This window comes from Homo sapiens, chromosome 9 (genome assembly GCF_000001405.40).
Source record: "Homo sapiens chromosome 9, GRCh38.p14 Primary Assembly".
Lineage (NCBI taxonomy): Eukaryota > Metazoa > Chordata > Mammalia > Primates > Hominidae > Homo > Homo sapiens.
This window is the reverse complement of record NC_000009.12, coordinates 86,409,631-86,423,561: the sequence shown is the minus strand read 5'-3', so window position 1 is coordinate 86,423,561 and position 13,931 is coordinate 86,409,631. Positions and strand designations below refer to the sequence as shown.

The window sequence follows — 13,931 nt, the reverse complement described above, 5'->3', positions numbered from 1 at the left end:
ACTCAGTCTCAAAAAAAAAAAATGAGCTTAACAATGTCCTCCAGCAATCTATTTGGTGGCTGGCTACCCCACCGGCAAGCACCCCACCCAGAGTAACCGGCTTGCTGAGTCTTGGGCTCCATGCCCTCCTTTCTCATTCTATGGCTTAATTCCAGCTACTCAACTATTCTATCTAAACTACTCTAGTTTTTTAGGTTTGTAAAAAGATGTAGCGTTGTATGTACTCTTTTTCTTTGTTTCTAGTGTTATTTTACAGATTATTTTTTACCTTTTATCTTAAAATAAGTTCAGGCCAGGTGCAGTGGCTCACACCTGTAACCCCAGCACTTTGGGAGGCCAAGGCTGGCAGATCACTTGAGGTCAGGAGTTCGAGACCAGCCTCGCCAACATGGTGAAACCCTGTCTCTCCTAAAAGTACAAAAATTAGCCAGGCATCACTTCTCAGCCTTTTGGCTAAGATCGGGTGTAGTATCTGTTCTTATCAGTTTAATATCTGATATATTCTCTATCTGAGGACAATATATTAAATGGATTTTTGGAAATAGGAGATGGAATAGGAGCTTACCCCATCCACTCCATGCATTGACCTGGTATTGCAGTACTTCCAGGAATGGTGCACCAAAAAAAAAAAAAAAAAAAAAATTAGCCAGGCGTGGTGGTGTGTGCCTGTAATCCCAGCTACTTGGGAGGCTAAGACAGGAGAATCACTTGAACCCAGGAAGCAGACGTTGCAGTGAGCCGAGATCTCACCACTGCACTCCAGCCTGGGTGACAGAGTGAGACTCCATCTCAAAAAAAAAAAAAATGAAAATAAAATAAGTTCAAACTTACAGAAAAGTTGCAAGGATAATATAAACAACTCTATAATAGCTTTACCACAATATACAATTATAATATATGGTAATATAACATAATATAGTATTATATGTAATATAAATATATTAATTATATGAATATATAATATATATTATTCTACAAATCATTTGAAAATAGGTTACATATATCTTACTTTTTTACTCCTTAATATATCCATGTGTATTTCCTAAGAACGAGGCAATGCTTATATAACCACAAATGAGGAAATTTAACATAGATACCATACTTGTATCTTATATATAGTCCATGTTTAAGTTTTGTCAATTGTCACAACAATACTTTTTATAGCAATTTTTTCAAGGACATAATCTGGTCCAGAATCACATATTATGTTCAATTGTTGTGTCTCTTCAGTCTTCTTTAATCTGAAACATTTCTCCAGCCTTTCTGTGACATTAACATTGTGAATTTCAGGAGTTTTAACATGTCTGTGACTGGTATTTTATTAATGTGCCTCAATTTATGTTCTCCTGATGTTCCCTTTTGATGGAAATCAGGTTGTGCATTTTGGGCAGAAATATCACAGAAGTGGTGCTATGTTCTTCTTAGGAAATCACATTCAGAGGCCCCTTGTTGGTGATATTAGCTTTGACCTCTTGGTTACAGTGCTACCTCGTGTCTCCAGATTGTAGGTTTGCATATGTTCTTGGGGGAATTACTATTTCACTTAATATTACATTGCTAAGATTTATCCATATTGTTACATGTCACCTGTCTCCCTTAAGCATTCTCTCTCTCTCTCTCACACACACACACACACACACATAAATTTTCTCATCTTTTTCTTTTTCTTTTTTTTCCTTCTTATCATGTTGCTATAGTTCACATATTTGACCCCGTCTAGTGTCATGTTGAAATTTGATCCTTAGTGTTGGAGGTGGGGCCTGGTGGGAGGTGTCTGGATGATGGGAACGGATCCCTCATGAACGGCTTGTTGCCATCCTCATAGTAGTGAGTTCTCACTTTATTAGTCCCCACAAGTACTGATTGTTGAAGACAGCTGGCACCATGCTTCTTGTAGAGCCTGCAGAACCGTGAGCCAAATAAGCATCTTTTCTTTATAAATTACCCACCCTCAGGTATTCCTTTGTAGCAACACAAAATGAACTAAGACACATGTCTTTCATTTTCCAGCCACATTTTTTACTCAAAATCAATTTTGGGAGGATACAACTCCTAGCTAAATTATGTACTTTCTCTTGTTCAATTTCTACAGACTAGGCCAGGCGCAGTGGCTCACGCCTGTACTCCCAACACTTTGGGAGGCTGAGACAGGTGGATCACCTGAGGTCAGGAGTACAAGACCAGCCTGGCCAATATGGCGAAATCCTGTCTCTACTAAAAATCCAAAAAAAAAAAAATTATCCAGGCGTGGTGGTGCATGCCTGTAATCCCAGCTACTCAGGAGGTTGAGGCAGGAGAATCACTTGAACCCAGGAGGTGGAGGTTGCAGTGAGCCAAGATTACACCACTACACTCCAGCCTGGGCAACAGAGCGAGACTCCATCTCAAAGAAAAAAAAAATTCTACAGACTAAATCTCCAAAGATTGATATATAATGTACCAAGAATACGTGTTGCTATGAAAATAGGTGGCCTAACAAAAAAGCAGGTATCAAAGAGATCAAAAAGGGATCCTTCACCCTTTACTCACCCAAGCTGTCAGCATTTATTTACTGAGTAACTATTATGTTCCTAGCACCTCACTTGGCTAGATCAGAGCATGATAAAGAACAAAACTACAAAGGGCTTACAAGCCCAAAGCTCTCCTTCCCAGCAGTGGACATCCTTCTCATGCTTCAAGGCACAGCTCAAATGTCATCTCCTCTGTAAAGCTGCCCTTTACTTCTTCAAACCTAAGTCTTTAACTGGGGACTTAACTATCTTCCAAGCACAGCATTAGATGCTTTCATCACAGTTGTGCTGAAGGGTGGGTGTTACCATCTTCACTTCTCAGTGAGTAGTTTGAGAATCAAAATTTTAAAGGACTTAGATTAAAGTGTAGCCATACACTCATGAGGGGACAGGGCCAAAATTGGCCCAGGCCTGACTTCCAAGTTGATTGGTTTTCTCATCATTCCATGATAAGTACTAGAGAGTTAAGTGCTTTTTCCCAAAAATTCATATAACTTCTTGCTTATAGCTCAATTACAGTGGTTATTGCACTGAATTCTATTTAGGTATGTTTGCATCCCTCCTCTGAAATTGATTTTGAGCTGCTTGAGCGAAGAATTCAGTCTTGTTCATCATTGAGTTCCCAGAACCTAGCAGAGTAACTGCAAATACAGCCAAGCCTCATTATTCACAAATTCCATATTTGAGAATTCACCAAAATTTATTTGTCACTTTCAAATCCATGTTTAGTGCACTTTTGTGGACATGTGCATGTACAGAGCAGTGAAAAGTTGAAACCCTCAATGTGCAAGTTTCCAGCGGACATAAAGCAAGGCTTTGTTTTGCCTTGTTCCACCTCTCATACCATAAACAAGTGTTCTTCCTGCAGTCTGTCTATTGCCATATTTTTTACAATTTATGCTTTTTGTTGGTGATTTCACTGTTTTAAATGGCCCTGAGTATAGTGATGAAGTGTTGTCCAGCATGCCAAAGCACAAGAAGGCTGTGATGTTATTTACAGAGAAAATATATGTGTTAGACAAGCTTTGTTCAGGCACAAGTTACAGCACTGTTGGCCATGAGTTCAATGTCAGTAAATCAAACAGATATTAAATAAGATGTCATTAAACAGAAACACACATAACACAAGGTTATGTATTGATTGGTTGACAAAAAAAAGTGACCAGAGATTTAAAGGAATCTAACCTTGTATTTCTCCTACGACCAATTGTTTAGTATTCACTAATTCATAGAACATAACTACTACAATAAAATCAATAAATGGGTGATCAATAAATGTATAATGAAAGAATGAAGGAAAAAAGACACATGTTAGAGAAATGACATTGACAAGTGAAAAGCTGCTTCATGAACTCACATGAAACCAAACAGAAAGAAAAACAAAATTATATATTGATATAATAAAGAAGGGCCAAATTACATAGTCTAGGCCAAAATTATGTTATCATAAAATAAGGATAGCATACAAAGAAGAAGTAATAAATGTACACTTCCTACTCAATCAGAACAAAATATTTTGCCACAACTTCTTTCCAAAAGAATGGGTTATTTTTATGCTAATTCAAGTGCATCTGGCTGCTCTGGATTTAATACTCCATAGTAACTTTTCTGTTGATATCTCATTGAGCATATTAAAATCCTATATGTTTTATATTTGTAAAAATACAACAGTACTACATTTTGAGCCATTAGAGTTCTCAAGGGCTCACTATCACTGTTTTCCAAATGTTATATTATCAAATGTTTCCTTACTAAATAACACAGCATGATTATCTCCACTTTATTTTTTTTTAATAGAGACAGCTATTTTGCCCAGGCTGGTCTTGAAACCCTAAGCTCAAGCCATCCTCCTGCCTCAACCTCCCAAAGTGCTGGTTATAGGCATGAGCGCTGCGCCTGGCCCAATCTCCACTTAAAAAAAATATATATATGCTAGAATGTTTATCTTTGAGCTCTTCTTAAAGCAAGGAGAAGAAACATATTGAATCTTTCAACTTACTTTATAAAGCAGATTCTACACTGTAGCACACTGGAAGAGGGCCTGACCTGCCAGTTCCACAGCCATGTGATTGTGGTGAAAGCAGACATAACATTATGGCTCAAACAGAGCAAAGATGAGCTTACAAAGTACATGGTTTAAGTAACTCCAGAGCTTTGGGACACAGATCTCTTTCTTCAGGACACGTATCTCATGTAACCATAATCATGATTGGTGGTGGGGAATTTTAAAAACAGAGTATCCCCAAAACCTTCCAGACTTAGTTATACCACAGCTAAATCAGGTGATTCCAACACATGATTCACATCCCACAAAAAAATGAAATGTTTACAAAAACAAGACTCTTAAAGGATGAAGTAGCCTTTTCTCAAAATCCATTCAAAATTTAAGCCAATCTTTCTTTCTGTGTTTTGTTTGACAATTGCTGTTACTTATGCTAAAATAAAAGATTCATACATACAATTTTCACACACATACAATTTTTGCATACAAACACATATGCAATTTTTGCATCTAAGTTTCAGGGTTCTGACATATTTTAAATGCCATTGTCTTAGTATATGTAGGTCATAAATCAAGTCTATTATCATACTGATGTATATGTACTTTTTTATTATGGAAATTTATAATCGTACACCAAAATGGTTGAAAGAATAGTGAAACAAACTACCAAGTACAAGTCACTCAGCTTTAAAAATTCTCAGGGATATTAGATATTACTTTTTTGAACACAAAGAAAAGAGTACACAACAACCTGACCTTTCCTGCCAACATCTACAGCAAACAGTACCACCACTACCAGTACTAAATGCTTTATAGAATATGAGCTGTTTGACCTGAACACACATTAAGTTTTGATCTGAAATGTCCAGGGGATCAGCTGTTTAGAGCAGCTTTCCTAAATTCCTTGAATAAGAAAACTGACGCTAAAAATTCACGTTGATTATAAAAATATGACTTTTAATAAGAGATTTGCTATTTATTATTATAAAGGTACGCATTTCATTTTGTAAAACTTGCAAATACAATCACATAAATTTGCATATAGAAGGGTATTTATGATATTGTGAAATCATAGTTCATTTTCTTTGGTGTGATAGTGTTATAGTTAAGTGGGAATATTACTTTGTTTTTAGGAGATACATAATGAAGTATGTGAGGTAGAAATGTTATAATGTTTGCAACTTGCTTTCAAATGGTTCAGTAAATTTTGGAGGGTGGGTGGGTGTGGGTGTGTGTGTAGATCAGGGATTGGCAAATTTGTTCTGTAAAGAACTAGATGGTAAATATTTTAGGCTATGAAGATCAAGAAGCAAATTCAAAGCTGTTTTATAGGTACCTATATAACCAGATAAAATGTTGCTGTTTAAAATGTAAAACTCCTTTTTAATTAAGAGCTGTACAAAAACAAGTGATGGCCCAAATTTGGCCTTGAACCATGATTTGTCAACTCCTAATATGGACAGATGAGTGGATGGATGGATAGAAGATAGATAGATAGATAGATAGATAGATAGATAGATAGATAATTAATACATAGATGATAGAGAAAGTATGAGAACTTGGGGATATCTGGGCTGTTAAAAAACTATATATGGGAAAACATTAACAATTATTGAATCTAATTGGAGGGTATATGGATGTTCATTGTATTAATCTTTCAAATTTTCTGTATGTTTTTATGTATTTGCATTTTCTCCCTGTTTTCATAATAAAAACTGGGGGTGATGCAAATACATAAAAATATAATGAAAATAAATATCATCCATAATATCTCACACTTAGAGATTAGCACCTTTTGCATCTTGACAAATTACCTTTTATTTTTAGTTCCTCCAGAATGTGTTTTTCTTCCAACCAAGATGAGATCTTACTCCATATAAAATTTTATAGCTTGACATTTTAATTTAAAATTCATCCATAAACATTTTCACATGTCATCATCATGTTAATGGACACATAATATTCTATGGAACAAATGGTTAAAAGGTTTTAACTATTTCTCAATTGATGGACATTTCATTTGTTTCCAATCCTTTACCCTTATAAATAAGTATTTCTTAATGTGATTTTAATCTATTAATGTATTGTCTTCTTAAGAAAAGGTCTTGGTGATCATGAGTATAGATAATGCTATTTTGTTGTGTCACTATGTTTTACTTTTGAGGGGAAGAAAAAGAAAACATGATAAAAAATGAAAATATTGCTGGAAAAAGCATTTCATATCTTAAAGTCCTTATAAATTAGTTACCTTGAGAGGATAAAGTAGATAATATGAATAAGAAAAATCAAGTTTTTAGTTGTATAAAATATGCATAATACAAACATCATCTTAACCATTTTAAATGTACAATTTGATGGCATCAAATAAATTCACAGTGTTGTGCAACCATCACCACCATTCATCTGCAGAACTTTTTCTCAATCCCAAATAGAAACTCTATACCCATTGAACGTTAATCCCCATTGCCCACTCCTGTCAGCCCTTGGTAACCTCCATTCTACTCTCTGTCTCTACAAATTTGCCTATTCTGAGTACTTCATATAAGAGGAATCATATAGTATTTGTCCTTTTGTGTCCAGCTTATTTCCCTTAGCTTAATATGTTCAAGCTTCATCAATGTCGTAGCATGTATCAGAATTTCATTCCTTCTTAAGGCTCAATAATATTCTGCTCTATGTCTCTATCACCTTTTGCTTATCCACTCATCATTCAATGGACACTTAGTTTGCTTCCTCCTTTCGGCTTTTGTGAATAATGCTGCTATAAACGTGAGTGTGCCGGTATCTGTGTGGGACACTGCTTTTACCTCTTTTGAGTATATATACCTAGAAGTGGAATTGCTGTTTAACTTTTCGAGAAACCACCAAACCATTTTCCAAACAAAGCTATTTGATAATAGATGTTAGGCATTAATGATGCTTTTATTTTCAATGTGTGTTGACTTGCTGGCCCACACAGCCAGATCTGGCTCTAGTACCTGTCCATTCTTAACTTCCACCTGACTCCCACCCACACTTCATTGAAGTCACACTCGCTGCTTGCCCATTTCTGGCTCTTCAGGCACATGCTCTGCCTGGAACATCCTTCCCAGATATGAACAAAGTCCACACACCTCACTTCTCAGGGCTCTGCTCCCATGTCCCCTCCTCAGAGAGGCTGTCCTACCTTGACCGCCCTATTTAAAGTAAAAGTAATACCCTGTCACTCTCTATCTTAACTTCCTGCTTCTGTTTTCTTTCTAGTACTTATCACCACCCAATCTATTAAATGCCTATTTGCCTTTTTCTGTCTTTCCAGTTGCATGTGAGCTTTAGGAGAGCAGAGACTTTGTCTACGATGTTCACTGCAGTAACCCCTATTCATAGTCTCACACTTAGTAGTTTTTCCATAAATATCACTTGGATGATGGAACGAATGAATACCAGACCAGGGCCCAGTCACTAGTCAAGACTTGGCCTTCTAGAAAGATCCATCTCATCCAGGACTTCTTAGACTCATATGTTCGGTGTATTTGCTGTAGTTGTGATTATGCTACATAGTAATTCCTTCTATGCATCTATTACCTGTAGGCATTAAGCTACACATTTTGTGATAACTTGTTTCTATTTTCTATTTTGAAAAAAATTAAAATTATGAAAAAGTTACGAGAATAGTAGGATGAACACCATACACCCTCTGCCCAGGTTCATCAATGTTAGCAGCTGAATACAGTTGCTTCATCTCCCCCTCTCCCACGCATTCATTATTGTTAGTGTTATATTCTGAGCATCTTGACATTACTCTTGAACTTCTTGCTAAAACATTTGAACACCACTGAAAAGCTGACTTCCTCAGAGTTTCCCATTTTCACACTAAATGTCCTCTGAGACCTAACCAATCTTGAGCGGACCAGTTAAATGGCATCAAAAAAAGTTAACAAACCCAGAAGCAATTTTAAAGGATAAAGTTAAGTTAACTTGGCTGGGCGTGGTGGCTCATGCCTGTAATCCCAGCACTTGGGGACTCTGACGTGGACAGATTACCTGAGATCAGGAGTTTGAGACGAGCCTGGCTAACATGGTGAAACCCCGTTTCTACTAAAAATACAAAAAATTAGCCAGGTTTGGTGGTGCACGCCTGTGATCCCAGCTATTCTAGAGGCTGAGGCAGGAGAATCGCTTGAACCCGGGAGGCAGAGGTTGCAGTGAGCTGAGATCGCGCCATTGCACTCCAGCTTGGGCAACAAGAGCGAAACTCCGTCCCCAAAAAAAAAAAAGTTAAGTTGACTTTTCACCAACCTAAAGTTAACATCATGTATTAGGAGTCAGAGTTAATGGTTCTCTAATTCTGTCTAGGCTTACCCTGTAAAGACACACAGGCAGAGAAAGACAGAGAGAGGGAGAGAGAGAGTTCTGCCCCAAACACATTTTGCCAAAATGAGCGTGTGACATGTTAAAGCATCATTTCACACCTCTATTGTAATTTAACTTTCTACTTACATAGATTTTGCTCTGAGTTCATCCTCATCGCAGCTTTATGGGAAAAATCACCAAATCCCTGTACAAAGAACTGCTGGGATTTTTTTCTTTAACTCTACTGCCATCTAGTGTTGAGAAAAGAGAATTCTGGACTCTGCAAAAAAGAATGTATATTATTTGCTATTTGCTTGTATATCTAGATTCAAACCTGTTTTATTGCAGAATAAATTTGGAAGCTATATCCACCATGATCTTCTTGTTTTATTTTGGATTCAGTAAAATTTCTAAGAAAAAAACTTCAAAAATTAGGCCATATTTCACATTATCCTGAAGGCAAGATGGACAGTAAGGCTTAGTTTTCCCAGCGACCCTTTGGCCCATTTGGCGTCACAAAGGAGTTCCCCTCTTCCTTCCAGCTATTTGTCTGGTTCTTTGGCATGACTTCTTTGTGATGCTTACTGGTCATTGGCTGTTTCCTGTGACTCCTGTGGGAATGTGAGCTCCCGGAAGGCAGAGATTTTGCCTTTTTTTTTTTTCTTTCCTGCTTTGTTCATTGATATATCCGAAATTACTAGAGCAAAGCCTGGAACATACATGACAAGCATTTAATAATTATTTATTCAATAAATAAAGGAATAAATGAAGGAATGTTGGGAATCATTCTAGAAATGGGTGTAAAGGCATACTAGGGGACTTCGAAAAGGTCATGGGGGCCAGGCACGGTGACTCACGCCTGTAATCCTAGCACTTTGGGAGGCCAAGGCAGGAGGATTACCTAAGGTCAGGAGTTCAAGACCAGCCTGGCCAACAAGGTGAGACCCGGTCTCTACTAAAAATACAAAAATTAGCCAGGCATGATGGTGCACACCTGTAATCCCAGCTACTCAGGATGCTGATGTAGGAGAATCACTTGAACCTGGGAGGCAGATGTTGCAGTGAGCCAAGATCATGCCACTGCAGTCCAGCCTAAACGACAGAGCAAGACTCCGTCTCAAAAAAAAAAAAAAAAAAGAATTAAAAGATAAAAATACCAGCCTGGCCAACATGGTGAAACCCCATCTCTACTAAAAATACAAAAATTAGCCAGGTGTGGTGGTGTGTGCCTGTAATCCCAGCTTCTCGGGAGGCTGAGGCACAAGAATCATTTGTGCCCAGGAGGTGGAGATTGCAGTGAGCCAAGATCGTGCCACTGCATTCCAGCCTGGCCGACAGAGCCAGACTCTGTCTTAAATAAATAAATAAATAAATAAATAAATAAATAAATAAATAATATAAACTTTATTTCCCAACATAAGCTTCATCAAGTTCAAGATACTTTTCTAAGTGATGATACCAACCATTTTGTCCATCCCTAAAGAACTGAGGGTCCTGGGAATTTAACCATGTTCATGTTGTCTTTTCTATGTTATTAACTGAGGAAAAATGGGTGATCTTTAAAGATTTTTTTAAGAATAGAAAACAGAAAGAAGTCAGATGGAGCCAAATCAGGACTGGAGGATAGGCACCTAATGATGTCTCATCAAAACTCTTGCAAGATTGACCTTGTTTGCTGAGAGGAATGAGCAGCAGCATTGTCATGGTAGAGAAAGACTCTCTGGTGAAGCTCTTCCAGGAGTTTTTCTGCTAAAACTTTTGCTAGCTTTCTCAAAATGCTCTCATAATAGTCAGATGTTATTGTCCAGAACATCAACAAGCAAAATGCCTTGAGCATCCCAAAAAACTGTTGCCATAACCTCAGCTCTTGACCCATCGTCTTTTGCTTTGACTGCACCACGTTCACCTCTTGGTAGCCATTGCTTTGATTGTGCCTTGTCTTCAGGACCATACTGGTAAAGCCATGTTTCATCTCCCGTTACTAGTCTGAAGAAATGCTTCAGGATCTTGATCCTATGTATTTAAAATTTCCACGGAAAGCTCGGCTTTTGTCCACAGCTGACCCAGGCACAACTGTTTTGGTACCCATTGAGCGGGAAGCTTGTTCAACTTTAATTTTTTAGTCAGAATTGTGTAAACTGAACCAGTTGAAATGTCGAGAATGTTGGCTATTGTTTGTGCTGTTAATTTTCAGTCCTAATAATGATGTTCCTTTGTCTATGATGATGGCTATTGTTTGTATTGTTGATTAGGGTATGAACAAGAAAATTTTTTCCTTGCAAATTGATGTGGATAGTCTGCTGCTGCAGGCTTCATCTTCAACAATGTTGTCCTTTCTTTTCCTTTTCCTTTTAAGAGACAGGGTCTCACTCTGTCACCCATGTCGGAGTGCAGTAGCACCATTGTAACTCTCTGCAGGCTCAAACTCCTGGGCTTAAGCAATCCTCCTGCCTCAGCCTCCCAAGTAGCTCAGACTGTAGGCATGCACCACCGCACCCAGGTAAATGTTCTATTTTTTGTAGAGAAAGGGTCTCACTTTGTTGCCTAAGCTGGTCTCAAACTCTTGGCCTCAAGCAATCATCCTTGGCCTCTCAAAGTGCTGGGATTATAAGCGTGAGCCACCTCACACGGCCCTGTCCTTTCCTAAAACAAGTTATTCATTTGTAAAATTATCACTTGAAGAATTTTCTCCATAAACTTTTTGTAAAGCATCAGTGATGTTACCATTCTTCCACCCAAGCTTCACCACAAATGTGATGTCTGTTCTTGCTTGAATTTTAGCAGAATCCATGTTTCTCTTATAAGGACTCTTTTCAAACGGATGCATTATCCTCCTTAGTGCCTCAAACTAGACCCTGTTCAGATATATTATAATAAATTAGTACAAGTTTATTTGCTGTAAAAAAAGAATTTTAAATCCATGCACAGTTTTTTCACAATACATATTTTTCATGGACTTTTTGAAGACCCCCTTATATTTGCGGTGTTAGTTTCGCTTTGTGACTGACATCTTTTCTTGTGGGCACAGCACATTTTCATTCACAGGCTACTCCCTGACCTTTGACTCATGATTCCCTCTGGGGAGATGAGCACTATCAGTTATTTGAAGTCTTTGAAATATGATTTGAAATCATATTTCCACTCAAATAAACATTGCTTCTGTTTCTCAAAAACAGAGAGATGGAGAGGAATCATGCAACACTAGATATTACATGAGTAGACATTACAGCACATTATCTGTCCATCAAAAACAGAAATACCAATAGGAACCATGTAATGTTAGAATCAAATGAATTTTTAGAAACCATAAAGCAAACCAGATAAGCTCTTGATTCTCAATTTCAGGCTAAATCTTAAAAATAATATTCTAAAGCAAGAAAAGCAGTTGTAAAGGTTGTTTTGTTTCCTTCTATTTAATATCTAGTTAAAATCTCCTATTTCCTTACATTTTCCTCCTTGTAAATTATACTAAATGTCTTTTCAATCCTTGGCTAAAACAGATAAACTGATAACTTGGAATTTTCTACTCACAGTATAATGAAGAACTCTAAAGAACTCATTTAAAAAATTGGGAATAAGAAGATTACATGAGATGATATCAAAATCTTTACAGGGGGCTATAAAAAGGAAAAGTTTAAGGAAGACAGGTTCCCATCTGAAATTGGAAAAATATCTTTGTGAGGCATTAGAGGAATCTCAGTTCACTACATAAAAATCAAGAAGAGTTTTTCTCCAGTATGAATGGGTGAGTTTGCTTTGGATGGAGATATCAAGGCTGATGTGAAAACCTGGCCCATGAAGCATGCTTATAAAATGATGATGCTGATTCCACACTTGGCCCACACAAGATTGTCTCGGTAGCCTGATGCTAACATTGCTTTCAGATTATACATCATAATTTTTCAAGCACCCACATCTTGGTTACCTAATTTGGTCCTCCTGAAATGCCTATAGTGTAGATGAGACCAGGATTGTCCTTGACTGTACTGTTTTGTGGCTTTTGAGTAGGGAAGCTGGACTCATCTTGTTTTCCTCTCCATCTTAGCCTCCCAGTGTCATGGACATGGTAGCTATGCCAGCACAGGTCCAGGGGTCTCTCCCGCCTTCCCCCAGACCACTGCACATCCTGGGGCACGTTTTACACCACTGCAAATCCTAGGAGGTGAATGTGGCCGGGGCCCTAATCTCAGCTGGAGGCTTCTAGCAGGTTTGATGGAAACAGCTTGCAGCTCTGAGCACAGCTTGATCACCATCTGTGCCCATCAGCAAGTTAAATAAACTCCCTGGGCTTCACATTCCTCTTTTGTAAAATGAGCACATAGATTTGCATGATCTTTAAGGCAGTGGATTCCAGAAGATGAGTCCATGGATCAGTTTGAAAAAAAAAAAAATTAATTGGCCGGGTGATGTGGCTCACGCCTGTAATCCCAGCACTCTGGGAGGCCAAAGCGGGTGGATCACGAGGTCAGGAGATCGAGACCATCCTGGCTAATGCTGTGAAACCCTGTCTCTACTAAAAATACAAAAAATTAGCTGCACGTGGTCGCGGGCGCCTGTAGTCCCAGCTACTCAAGAGGCTGAGGCAGGAGAATGGCGTGAACCCGGGAGGCAGAGCTTGCAGTGAGCCAAGATCGCGCCACTGCACTCCAGCCTGGGCGACAGAGCGAGACTCCATCTCAAAGAAAAAAAGAATTAATTTTGGGAATTCACATGGGCTTGCCAACTCTTTGTTGTTTGAAATACATTAAAGGGCCAGGAGTGGTGGCTCATGTCTGTAATCCCTGCACTTTGGGAGGCCGAGGTTGGCAGATCACTTGAGGTCAGGAGTTCAAGACCAGCATGGCCAACAGGGTGAAACCCCATCTCTACTAAAAATACAAAAATGAGCTGGGCATGGTGGCGGGCACCTGAAATCCCAGCTACTCAGGAGGCTGAGGCAGGAGAATTGCTTGAACCCGGGAAATGGAGGTGGCAGTGAGCCAAGATTGCACCAGTGTACTCCAGCCTGGGCTACAGAGCAAGACTCCATCTCAAAAAAAAAGAAAAAGAAAAAAAGAAATACATTAAAGATAACAACTCTGATCATC

At 38.3% G+C, this 13,931-nt stretch overlaps 1 long non-coding RNA gene and 1 pseudogene across 3 annotated transcripts in view, besides 1 other annotated feature; one reads left to right on the top strand and one right to left on the bottom strand.

Annotated features, from left to right (window-relative positions):
• The window catches only part of LOC102724080 (uncharacterized), a 117,440-nt gene extending 107,719 nt beyond the window's left edge, over positions 1-9,721 (bottom strand). For 2 of the 3 annotated variants that reach the window (XR_007061636.1, XR_007061635.1), the window contains exon 1: positions 8,992-9,721. This is a non-coding gene — a long non-coding RNA (uncharacterized LOC102724080). Of the gene's footprint in view, positions 1-6,326; positions 6,477-8,991 lie in introns of all 3 variants that reach the window. The other variant, XR_001746546.1, reaches the window with a different exon arrangement.
• On the top strand, positions 434-620 carry RNU2-36P (RNA, U2 small nuclear 36, pseudogene; annotated as a pseudogene).
• Positions 12,757-13,354: an enhancer, noted in NCBI's record as "OCT4-NANOG-H3K4me1 hESC enhancer chr9:89025123-89025720 (GRCh37/hg19 assembly coordinates)". NCBI's record gives its function as "activates a minimal SCP1, AML or CMV promoter by ChIP-STARR-seq in naive H9 embryonic stem cells {active_cell/tissue: H9 hESC(naive)}" and the evidence as "EXISTENCE:reporter gene assay evidence [ECO:0000049][PMID:30033119]".